The sequence below is a fragment of the Homo sapiens genome, chromosome 10 (genome assembly GCF_000001405.40).
Source record: "Homo sapiens chromosome 10, GRCh38.p14 Primary Assembly".
Taxonomy (NCBI): domain Eukaryota; kingdom Metazoa; phylum Chordata; class Mammalia; order Primates; family Hominidae; genus Homo; species Homo sapiens.
The window spans coordinates 130,151,809-130,164,434 of record NC_000010.11 but is presented as its reverse complement, the minus strand read 5'-3'; the positions used below and the strand labels follow the sequence as shown (position 1 = coordinate 130,164,434).

At 42.1% G+C, this 12,626-nt stretch overlaps 1 protein-coding gene across 3 annotated transcripts in view; it reads right to left on the bottom strand.

Moving 5' to 3' along the window:
• GLRX3 (glutaredoxin 3) overlaps positions 1–12,626 on the bottom strand; it is a 43,987-nt gene that overhangs the window by 15,943 nt on the left and 15,418 nt on the right. For 2 of the 3 annotated variants that reach the window (NM_001199868.2, NM_006541.5), the window contains exons 3-4: positions 4,366–4,440; positions 3,438–3,639 (exon numbers count right to left, since the gene is read on the bottom strand). In NM_001199868.2, the coding sequence (NP_001186797.1) occupies positions 3,438–3,639; positions 4,366–4,440 (277 nt within the window). Of the gene's footprint in view, positions 1–3,437; positions 3,640–4,365; positions 4,441–4,600; positions 4,690–12,626 lie in introns of all 3 variants that reach the window. The other variant, NM_001321980.2, reaches the window with a different exon arrangement.

The following is a 12,626-nucleotide window of genomic DNA, read 5'->3' as shown; positions in this document are numbered from 1 at the left end:
GGATGACTCTCACTGCAGAAGGAATATCTGACTATGCCTCAAATACCTTTTGCTTTGCTAAAAGCTTTGTTAACTGAAATAGTTATAAGAATTCCCAAATAATTAACCTGCTCAAGGATTTAAGATTCTGTTTAAGATGACATATACCTCAGTGCTTCTGGAAACTCTTCCTAAAACAAGCATTTTCCCATCTTCATGAGGAGCACAGAGTAAGGACAATCCAATTCTTTTCAACTGAGACCCTATCTACACGTCAGGCTCATAACACACCATACAATTCTGCAGGTAGAGCCCACATGAAGGATAAGAAGATGGAGACATGACCTGTGCAGGGGTTAGGCTGAGTCCAGTGGGGCTCCAGGAGAGACCCTAAAAATGGCTTTCAAGGTTTTCTAGATATAAAATTTAAATGTTATTCATTCATGTTTTTCTGATTAGCAGAAAGCAAGGTGGGGACAAACTAATCAAAAAACAAACATCAAAATACTCCGCAGTGGGAGTTCAGTGGTGTTAGCAGAGATAGCACTTTCAAAGCTAATTTGGTGCAAAATAAGGAAAGAGCAGCCACGTGCGTGTTCACAAGATGAGATGGCCAGTGCTTTTATAAAGGGAGCTTTGCCTACGCCCTTCTCTAAAATGCCAGAAGAAGAGCAAAAACAATGCTCCACTAACCAGGCTCAGAAAGGAACAGCAGAGGGTCGAGGTGACTTATGTTCCCATAAGAAAACAGTTTAAAAATATTTTCCAATTAATCCTAAGTATTTTATTAAAGAACAGCAACATTCTTAAATGATCTATTTACTATATGTGACAGAAAGACATGAAACAGAAAATATCAGGAAACAGAAAAACCCACTGAAAATGTAGTTATAAAAATTATATAGAAGTACTTTAAAAGAAGAAACTGTAACCATTCAACCATATGTATCTCAAAATATTTATTGTCTTTTATTAATTAAATAACTATAATACTACGTTTTCAGATGGCTCTGAAATGTGTTTTGTTTTGTTTTGAGACAGAGTTTCACTCTGTCACCCATACTGGAGTGCAGTGGCTCGATCTCGGCTCACTGCAACCTCTGCCTCCCAGGTTCAAGCAATTCTCCTGCCTCAGCCTCCCAAGTGGCTGGAATTACAGGACTCCACCATGCCCAGCTAATTTTTGTATTTTTAGTAGAGACGGGGTTTCGCCATGTTGGCCAGGCTGGTCTCGAACTCCTGATCTCAAGCGATCCGCCCACCTCAGCCTCCCAATGTGCTGGGATTACAGGCATGAGCCACCACGCCCAGCCCTGAAATATTTCAAAGCTTCTTTTTTATTCTGTTATTTGTACAGTCTTCCAAATCTCACTCCATTATAATAAACATAATTTAAATAAGTTTAATATAAATATAAAAATGCTAGCAGTATATTTTAAATTCAGTTTAATAAAGTAAAAGGTAAGCAGAAAAATTAAAATGTCTAAGTTTCTCTCTAATTTACTTGAATAATCATACAATATCTACACTGAAAAGGCCCTCCAAGATTGGCTCCAACAGCCAATCTTGTTCCCAACAGCACTAGAAGGAATTAAAGGCACAAGGAGGGTACCTGACTTGTCCCCAAAGTTGCTAAGGCCGCAGGGGTGGGCCTGAGGCTCGCCTGGCATGACACCCAGTGCAGCACACTTCCCAGGACATCCTTCTCCTCTGAGCACTCCTTCCCCAAGCTTCAGTGTTGCCACCTGCCTTTTCATTAGGTTTATCATTCAGAAAAGACTGAGACTGCTGCTGTTCAACCCCAAAGGAGAGAATACTGTAGAGATTTCACTGTAGGTGTGCTTCACCCACATTTCACAGCCAGTTCTACTGTACCTGAGATCTGAATGAAGGTGCTGAATACAATCCATTCAACTGAAGTGGTAAGTTCCCATTTAGTGGCCACCGCACAAAGTACAAGAAATAATTTTCATGTTTCATGGAAGAAGGTGAATGTGAACCATTTGCAACCCCCGTTAAAAACAAAATAACAAACGCAACAGAGACTATCTGTTGCTACCTTTAGTTTAGTACAGACTAAGTTAGCTTTGCAATACACAAATAGCAGGCATTATCTGACACATAAATACTGGCAGGGAAATTTTTTAGGCAGAACTAAGAGATACTTTTAAGACAGAATTCATGGTGGCTCACGCCTATAATCCCAGCAGCACTTTGGGAGGCCAAGGCAGGCGGATCACCTGAGGTCAGGAGTTTGACACCAGCCTGACCAACATGGACAAACCCTATCTCTACTAAAAATACAAAAAAATTAGCCGGGCATGGTGGTGGACACCTGTAATCCCAGCTACTCGGGAGGCTGAGACAGGAGAATCGCTTGACCCCTAGTAGACAGAGGTTCCGTCGCACTGAGATCGTGCCATTGCACTCCAACCTGGGCAACAAGAGCGAAATTCCATCTCGAAAAAATAAGAATTCATCATGAAACTTTATTTTTAAAACTAGACATTATCATAAGCTAATATGTAATTTAATAACCCTACAGGGAAGAATTTAGAATCAAATTCACACTAGAAGCTTGGCTATCTTTATAAAGTCACTCTGGACATGCTGTAATCATATCAAGAGCATACTCAATGTTACTGCCCCTATCTTAATAAAGTCCCTCCTGTGTAGTTGATACAAATACTCTTAGAGTCTCAACAGCATCATCAAATGGCATTAAATGCTCAATTATGCAGCATACTAATGTTGTACTAGGCACAGTAAAAAGAAAATAACATAAACCCACTACCAGAGGGGTCAAATAACTCTAAAACTTACTTAAGGACAAAATTATAAGCATCCATGTGTACAGAAAATAAGAGTGACTACAAGCCAAGAATTCGGAATCTTTCCATTACCAGCAGCTATAAACTGGAAATGACAGCAATGCAGGAAGAGAATCATTAGACAGTGATGACACAGGGGAGGCAAAAGCACACAGGCTGGACACAAAAACACTGAAAAATTCCGCAAATTTTTTAATTGCTGAATCTGAACTAGGTGAAAAACAGGAGGCTGCCAAGAAAGAAAAAATAACTGTTAACAGCAAAAGTAGATAAACAGGCAAAAGAGACAGCAATATGGTAGTTGGAACCTAATCCTAACTCTGCTTACCAGGTGACCTTGGGCAAGTCACCTCTATCTTTGAGTCTGAGGACTTCAGTATAAAACAAAAATCTGAATTAGATGAGTTCTGAGACCCCTTTTGGTTCCAACATGCTGAGTCCATAATGCAAACTAATTCTTATATAGTGTCATTGGGAATTATAACCTTTTTGATTTTCTAAAAGTATGTGAACACAAGTATAAGATGTATGGTATAGCATCCTTGGAAACAGGATGCCCATCTCAACCATACCCCATTCTGGGAAAGCACCCATTTTGTTTATATTATGTTAAAGGCAGCTTCTTACCACAGCGTGGTTCTTGAGGAGTTCCTTTCATAAACAGCATGCAGGGGGCAGCATGAGTCAATTTCTTCAAGCGAAGGTTGAGATCTTCTTTAAGATGTTCATTAGCGCTGGGTAGGAAGGAGCCACTAGATGCATGTCGCTGAACTTTTTTGGTCAACTCTGGGGCATGTGCACCATCTAATCGGTCGATTTTCTGAGAATTCTAAAGTTTAAAAAGTTATTTAGAATACATGCAGCATTCCATAATAATGACATTGTTATAGCAGATTTTTAAAGGGGACAACAGTATTACCGGAGATGTAAAAAAAGAAACCCTCATTGCCAATTGCCTGCACTGCATCTCAATTTTAGAAATACATAATTTTTTTCTTTTCTCAGAAACACACTGAGAAAACACTGCAACATCTCAAAGTCAAATCAGGTCAGTCTAACATAATACAAAAAAGACTGCCCCCACATTGGCTGGAATGAATCTATTACTAAGTATAAATGAGGTATTTGGGGAACTACGATGACACCCATGGGTGCCTGGAAGCACAGGTGTGCACCTGCTTCCTAAAAGTCATTCATCAAACCAGAACCAGCCAGAGATTCCATTATGTCCAGGCACATGCTCTAAACAACCAATTTAACCAACTCAGGGAACACTGGGGTTCCACAGCCACATATCTGAATTTTGATCAAGAAGCTCTGATTCTGGCTGCTGGCCCTACACAGTCCATGCTACTTTTCTAAGATGCTGGCAAGCAGCTGGCATGGTCTTCTTTCTCAGCATCGGTGCAAAAATGAGACTATCAGAAGAAAGGTGGAGGGCCAGAAACAGCCAAACACCTAATATTCGGGGATTAGAGAGAGGGTAAAGAAACAAAATAGGTAGCCCCATGGCACCCTACAAATGGATAATCTCTTGTACCACCTTTATCCTTACCTTGAAAAACAGAAAAGTGGGAACAGAGCTAATTTCATATTTTTCAGATACTTCAGGAACACCTTCAGCTTCCAACTTTAAAATAAAAGAATTCAAGCTTGATTATTACAAGGTCCTTTTTCACTACTTTAATATGTAAATCAGTTTCACATGCATTATCCCTTCAAGTAGCTGGCATTTTTTAAAGAGCATGGTACAAAAGTTTATGACACATTTACATTTAAATGAGACTCACTGGGCTGGCATGTCATCCACTGAGTTTGCAGTGTCAAAACAGGTTCAGAGGTTTTTATTTTGTTGCACATTTCAAAAGATGCCTGGAGGCTGTGAATAAAATTTTTGGTGCACTAGTGACCTAGTAAATTTTCAATCATATGCAGCTACTACTATATTGAAATCCATAAATCACTGACCCCAGTTATGTCATGATTACAGTGCTTATTTTCTGCCCACAGCAATTCTTGCTGTTTGCTCTATTGACTAATTTCAAGAGGCAGTACATCATGACTGACAGTTGCAGCCTTCTGCAAATTATGAAGCAAAAAGGACTATTTCTTCAATAAACTATTGATGTCTGATAAATTTTGCTTTTAACTCCTGCAAGGCTGCTGGACACTAGGCAGATATCTTGCTAGGTTACTTGCTTCCGGTCTATTTACAATGTAAATACCTTTTAAATAAGATGACTGCATTGTGTTTGATAATTTCCTTAAGGCCCCTGAACAAGACAGGATGTGATATCTGATGCATGAATTTAAAACACATTTAGTAACACAATTTCTAAATAATTAGGGCACAATTACTGTAAGCTATTTACGTAGGTCTTTATAAATGATACACTTGGAGAAATACCAAGCTATATCCTTCCCTCATAGGACTGTCAATTTAATATAAACTTTTGAAACCAATAAAAATCTGTATTCACATTATACCTGTAGGAAATAAAATTTATTGATAAATTATATTGTTAAAAAGTTTTTAAAATATATACACTGTATTTTTCCAAGAGTAAAAGATTTCCACTGGGCTTGAAATACTATTTTTATTTAGAGCCTTACCCAATCAGGTTATATCTACCCAAATAAAGCTTGCAGAGAAAGTGGGAAGCAGAGTACTATGTATTTGGCTTTTATCTTCTATCTCCTACATTCTTGGGTGCTCTTTTACTACCTTAATTCTTATTTTTTTAGAAAACACTTTTGCAACAATATTTTTAATTATTTCCATTTTTAAAATGTACTTATATGAAAATTCTATAAAATCAACAATAGTCTAATAATCTGAAAAAAGAACAAAAAGATAAGGCATTCGAGACAGCTATTTAGAACAGACTCTCAAAAGTTTTAAAGACGTTTGTGTTATTTTCTTTCACATACACAACAGCACACTCAGATCAAAGATGACCAGAAAAGTTAATGACTAGGGCATGCCTACACTACCATCCTCCAGCTCATTATTTTCTGTCTTTCAACTAACATCTATGGAGTGCCCACTACGCACTGGGCATTCAGCAAGGATCACAAAAGGGCCCTTCCTTCAGTACTACTGAATTCTAACCAACAAGTAATACAAATCCAAAAAAAAGGCAATACTAAGTAGAAATAAGGTAATGTGATCTTAAACCAGAACAAAACAGGTAGCACCCTGACTCATAAAAACAAATTCCTATCTTCTTTTAAAATCTGATTTCTTAGCCAGGCATGATGGCGGGTGCCTGTAATCCCGGCTACTCGGGATGCTGAGGCGGGAGAATCGCTTGAACCCGGGAGGCAGAGGTTGCAGTGAGCCAAGATCGCACTATTGCACTCCAGCCTGGGCGACTAAGCAAAACTCCGTCTCAAAAAAAAAAAAAAATCTGATTTCTTCTTACATTCTTATATTCCTGCTGATTTCCAGTGGAGTAACAATTCTTCTGGGAAGCAAATGACCTCTTACAATTCCTGCTGAAGGCTGAGAACTACCACAACTGCCTCCACTCAATCAGCTCCCAGAGGAAGGGATCCTCATAACAAGAGACAATGGTAACAGACAAATCTTAAGAAGAAGGGAACAGGAACATCATTTAAGGCAAAAGAGTTCTCCAGAACATCAAGGGCATCTGAAGTCCTAAAACCCTTGCAGCACTAAAATTCGTTAGAAATATTTTTGTTGGATTTAATGTAACAGTTTTAACAATGAAAATAGAAAATAAATATATAAATATTTTTAAAGGATCTGCATTCAGAAGAGCTCAAAGATTATCAGAAATAGCTATCATTCATGGGCGACCTACCCTGTGCCATAAACCATGAGAAGGCCTTAACATAAAACAGCCTAGCCTACAGACAATTTTGAAAGGTGCGAAATTTTAGCATGTTATCATTTCAACTTAGTAAGTAGTTAAAGAGGAGGTGCAATGGTTGGTTTAAGGTTTCAACTTGACTGGGTTAAGAGATACCCAGACAGCTGTTAAAACATTACTCCTGGGCATGGCTGTGAGGGTGTTTTGGGAAGAGACTGGCATTTGAATCAGTAGACTGAGTAAGGAAGATCCATTCTCACCCAATATGGGCGGGGGGGGGGGGGGGGGGGGGGGGCGGCGGCCACCATCCAATAGGTTGAAGGCCTGAAAAGAACTAGGAAAAAAAAATGCAGAGGAAAAGCAAAAAAGCAAATCCTGTCTTTCTCCCTCTTTCTCTCTCTCCCTCCCTCTCCTCCGCACACCCCCATCCCCCACCCCTCCTGCCCCATCCCTCCCTCCTGGAGCCGAGATATCCATCTTCTCCTGTCTTTGGACATCACAGCTCTAGATTCTCCAGCCGTTAGACTGCAGGACTTGCACCAGCGGCCCCCAGGTTCTCAGGCCTTCAGACTTGGACTGAGCTATGCCACCAGCTTCCCTAGTTCTCCAGCATGTGGAGGGCAGATGGTGAGACTTCTCAGCCTCCTAAATCCCCTCTCATCTATCTGTACCTATCCTATTAGTTAGTTCTGTTTCTCTAGAGAACCCTAACTAACACAGGAGATAACTTGGGTAACTTGCCCAAAGATACATGGCTAATAAATGGCAGAGCTGAGAAACAATCAAAGTTTGTTTGACTATAAAACCTGTGCTTTTTTCACTATACTATGGTTAATTTTTTCTACTACTACAATCAAAAATAAAGATTACATGTCAAAGTAGGATTTATACAAGACTTCAGGACCAACCAAACATGAACATTTCCAAAACAGAATCCAGGCAAAATGCCTCAAGTGGGAACCACTTGCTTCCTATACCAAGAATCCAAACCTTGGGACCAGTCCCACCTGCTATGTGTCTATGGAGAAGGAAAGAAAGCGCAAGGGAGGCATCAGGTAAATCCAGAGATGGGGAATCCTCTCTCTATTCTACTTTTATTGAGCAGGGGTCATCGGATGCCACTGTGACAGTAACGGCGAATAGCTACAATTTATTCTGGGCCAGATACTATTCTAAGTGTGCTTCACGTATAGACTCACTTAATCCTCACACGTATAGACTCACTTAATCCTCACACGTATAGACTCACTTAATCCTTACAACAACAGGCACCGTCTTTAACATCCATTTTACAGAAGAAACTGGAACTTAAAGAGGTTCCATAACTTGGCCTAGATCACTGCCATGATTTGAATGTATATGTCCCTCCTAAATTCATATGCTGGAAATTAACATCAAAGGTGATAGCAATTAAGAGGGGCCTTTGGGAGGTGATTAGGCCAAGACGGCTATGCCCTCATGGATGGGAACAGTGCCATTATAAAAGGGTTTGAGGCTGGCTAGTCTGTTTTTGCCCTTCTTCTCCTGCTGCCAAGTGAGGACACGGCAACAAGGTGCCATCTTGGGAACAGAGAGCAAGCCCTTGCCAGACACTGAATCTGCTGGTGCTTTGATCTTGGATTTCCCAGCCTCTAGAACTGTGAGCAATAAATCTGTTGCTTAAAAATTACTCAGTCTAAGGTATTCTGTTATAGTAGCACAAATGGACTAGGACAATTACAAACCTGTTGAGTGATGTAGGCAGACAGTGTGTCTCTGGAGCCAAGCGCCTCCCTACACCATGTTCCACTTCATGGCTGCTGCCCTGTCCTCATTCCACTGACCCTTCAGTATCCTTCAGTAACAGTGACCACAACCACCTTCCTGCAACACCTTCCACTTGGCTCTCCATGTTTCCTCTGCCCTCCCTAAATGCTCAAACTCAGTGTCCGTTTCTGTCATCTCTGGCAGCCCCTGAACACCGGCATGTGCCAGCCTTGGTTCTGAGTCCTCTTCTATGCCTATCCACACTCATTCTCCTGGAGTGGGCTCATCCGATCCTATGGCTCTAAATGACGCTGCTATTACAACTCCCAACTTCTTCCCAGCCCAGGCCTCTCCCCTCACCTCCAGACTATACACTCAACACCTGCACTCAGAGCTCTATCAAACACCTCTCACTAAACCTGCTCCTCCCACAAGGCATCTCTATCTCACAAAATCCATCCAGTTCCTAAAATCAAAAAGGAGACAACCTTGATTAATCCATTTCTCTCACTCTCACACCTACTCCATCAACAGGTGTTCTGGGCTCCCTTCCAAAATATAATCCCACTCAGACCATGACATCATTTCATCTCTCACCTGGCCTAGGAGCCTCCTAACTGGGGTACCTGCTTCTATTCTGCACCCTTCCCGCTTCAAACCATTCTCCAGCCAGAGTAACTGACTTATGACAGGAATGGAACTGTGTCATTGCTATTGCACTTGGAATAAGACCTGAATGTTATCGTTCCCCACAAGGTCACTGACCCCTGCCTGCCACTCCAACCTCACATCACACTCTCACCACCCTCCAGCCCCACTAGCCTTTTGCTTTGACACTCTGCACTTTGGTTAAAAGCTCTTCCTAGCTCTCCCAATGGCTGGCTCCTTTCCATTTTTCAAATGGCCCTGCTGGCACAGTAGCTCACACCTGTAATCCCAGCACTTTGGGAGGCCAAGGTGGGAAGAATGCTTGAGCTCGGAAGTTTGGGGCTGCAGTGAGCTATGATCACACCACTGCACCCTGGCCTGGGTGACAGAGCGAGACCTTATCTCTTAAAAAAAAAAGAAAGATCTCTCTTCCTTAGATACACCCTTCCAGCCCAATCTAAATAAAGTATCCCACCTATCCCAGTTCCCATTTTCATAGCCTATTTCTTTCTTTTGCAGAACTTATTACTACCTAAAATTACCTTGATAACATATATGTCTACTATTTGTTGTCTGTGACCCTTAATGTTCTGTATCCTCAGTGCCTAGACTACTGTGCGGCATTTAGTGTTTGATAAATTTTGACCGAATATTAAACAAAGGTGGTCACTATACCTAAGCCAAGAATGGGGATGGCCACTTACCAATGATGGCACTGAGCTGCAAGACTAAGGAGAGAACACTTAAACCTGCTATTCAGGAACATTTGGCTAAACCTCCAAAAGAGGCTTCCTTCTACTCTGTGATGTGTGATATTAAAAAAAAAAAAATAGTATTTCAAAATCAGAATCTTTGTCAAACAGCCAAATATAAATTTCAAAACAGAAATTTAAATTAACAGTTTTGATAGTTTAGGCTGAGATCGCTTCCAAGATGGCCAAATAGGAACAGCTCTAGTCTGCAGCTCCCAGCGAGATCAATGCAGAAGATGAGTGACTTCTCCATTTCCAACTGAGATACCGGGTTCATCTTATTGGGACTGGTTGGACAGTGGGTGCAGCCCATGGAGGGCGAGCCAAAGTAGGGCAGGGCGTCACCTCACCCAGGAAGCGCAAGGGGTTGGAGGATTTCCCTTTCCTAGCCAAGGGAAGCCATGAGTGATTGTACCTGAAGGAATGGTACACTTCTGCCCAAATACTACGCTTTACCCACAGTCTTTGCAACTGGCAGACCAGGAGATTCCCTCCCGTGCCTGGCTCGGTGAGTCCCACACCCATGGAGCCTTGCTCGCTGCCAGCGCAGCAGTCTGAGATCGACCTAGGACACTGAAGCTTGGCTAGGGGAGGGGCGTCCGCCATTGCTGAGGCTTGAGTAGGCCATTGCTGAGGCTTGAGTAGGCAGTTCTATGCTCACAGTGTAAACAAAGTGGCAGGGAAGCTCAAACTGGGTGAAGCCCACCACAGCTCAGCAAGGCCTGCTGCCTCTCTAGATTCCACCTCTGGGGGCAGGGCATATCTGAACAAAAGGCTTCTACAGACTTAAACGTCCCTGCCTGACAGCTCTGAAGAGAGCAGGTGGTTCTCCCAGCATGGCATTCAAGATCCGATAACAGACAAACTGCCTCCTCAAGTGGGTCCCTGACCCCCGTATAGCCTCACTGGGAGACACCTCCCAGTAGGGGCCGACAGACACCTCATGCAGACAGGTGCCCCGCTGGAACGAAGCTTCCAGAGGAAGGATCAGGCAGCAATATTTGCTGTTCTGCAGCCTCTGCTGGTGATACCCAGACAAACAGGGTCTGGAGTGGACCTCCAGCAAACTCCAACAGACCTGCAGCTGAGGGGCCCGTTAGAAAGAAAACTAACAAACAGAAAGGAATAGCATCAACATCAACAAAAAGGATATCCACACAGAAACCCCATCCAAATGTCACCAACATCAAAGACCAAAGGTAGATAAAACCACAAAGATGGGGAGAAACCAGAGCAGAAAGGCTGAAAATTCCAAAAACCAGAACGTCTCTTCTCCTCCAAAGGAACGCAACTCCTTGCCAGCAAGGGAATAAAACTGGACAGAGAATGAGTTCAACAAGTTGACAGAAGCAGGATTCAGAAGATCGGTAATAACAAACTTCTCCTAGCTAAAGGAGCATGTTCTAACTCATTGCAAGGAAGCTAAAAACCTTGAAAAAAGTTAGACAAGTGGCTAACTAATCAATGTAGAGAAGAGCTTAAATGACCTGATGGAGCTGAAAACCACAGTATGAGAACTGCGTGAAGCATACACAAGCTTCAATAGCCGATTCGATCAAGCGGAAAAAAGGATATCAGTGATGGAAGATCAAATTAATGAAATAAAGTGAGAAGACAAGATTAGAGCAAAAAAGAGTGAAAAGAAACGAACAAAGCCTCCAAGAAATATGAGACTATGTGAAAAGACCAAATCTACGTTTGATTGGTGTACCTGAAAGTGACAGGGAGAATGGAACCAAGTTAGGAAACACTCTTCAGGATATTATCCAGGAGAACTTACCCAACCTAGCAGGGCAGGCCAACATTCAAATTCAGGAAATACACAGACCACCACAAATATACTCCTCAAGAAGAGCGACCCCAAGACATATAACTGTCAGATTCACCAAGGTTGAAATTAAGGAAAAAATGTTAAGGGCAGCCAGAGAGAAAGGTTGGGTTACCCACAAAGGGAAGGCTATCAGACTAACAGCAGATCTCTCGGCAGAAACCCTACAAGCCAGAAGAGAGTGGGGGCCAATATTCAACATTCTTAAAGAATTTTCAACCCAGAATTTCATATCCAGCCAAACTAAGCTTCATAAGTGAAGGAGAAATAAAATCATTTAAAGACAAGAAAATGCTGAGAGATTCTGTCACCACCAGGCCTGCCTTACAAGAGCTCCTGAAGGAAGCACTAAACATGGAAAGGAACAACCAGTACCAGCCACTGCAAAAACAGGCCAAATGGTGAAACACCATCGACACTATGAAGAAACTGCATTAACGAACGGGCAAAATTACCAGTTAGCATCATAATGACAGAATCAAATTCACATGTAACAGACTGGGTGTAGTGGTTCATGCCTGTAATTCCAGCACTTCGGGAGGTTGAGGCAGGTGGATCATTTGAGGTCAGGAGTTTGAGACCAGCCTGGCCAACACGGTGAAACCCTGTCTCTACTAAAAATACAAAAATTAGCTGGGTATGGTGGCAGGTGCCTGTAATCCCAGCTACTCAGGAGGCTGAGGCAGGAGAATCGCTTGAACCTGGAAGGCGGAAGTTGCAGTGAACCGATCGCATCACTGCACTCCAGCCTGGGCAATAGAGTGAGACTCCGTCTCAAAAAAAAAAAAAATTCACACACAACAAAATTAACCTTAAATGTAAGTGGGCTAAATGCCCCAATTAAAAGACTAAAAGACACAGCCTGGCAAATTGGACAGAGTCAAGACCCATCGGTGTGCTGTATTCAGGAGACCCATCTCATGTGCAAAGACAAACATAGGCTCAAAATAAAGGGATGGAGGAAGATCTACCAAGCAAATGGAAAGCAAAAAAAGCAGGGGTTGCA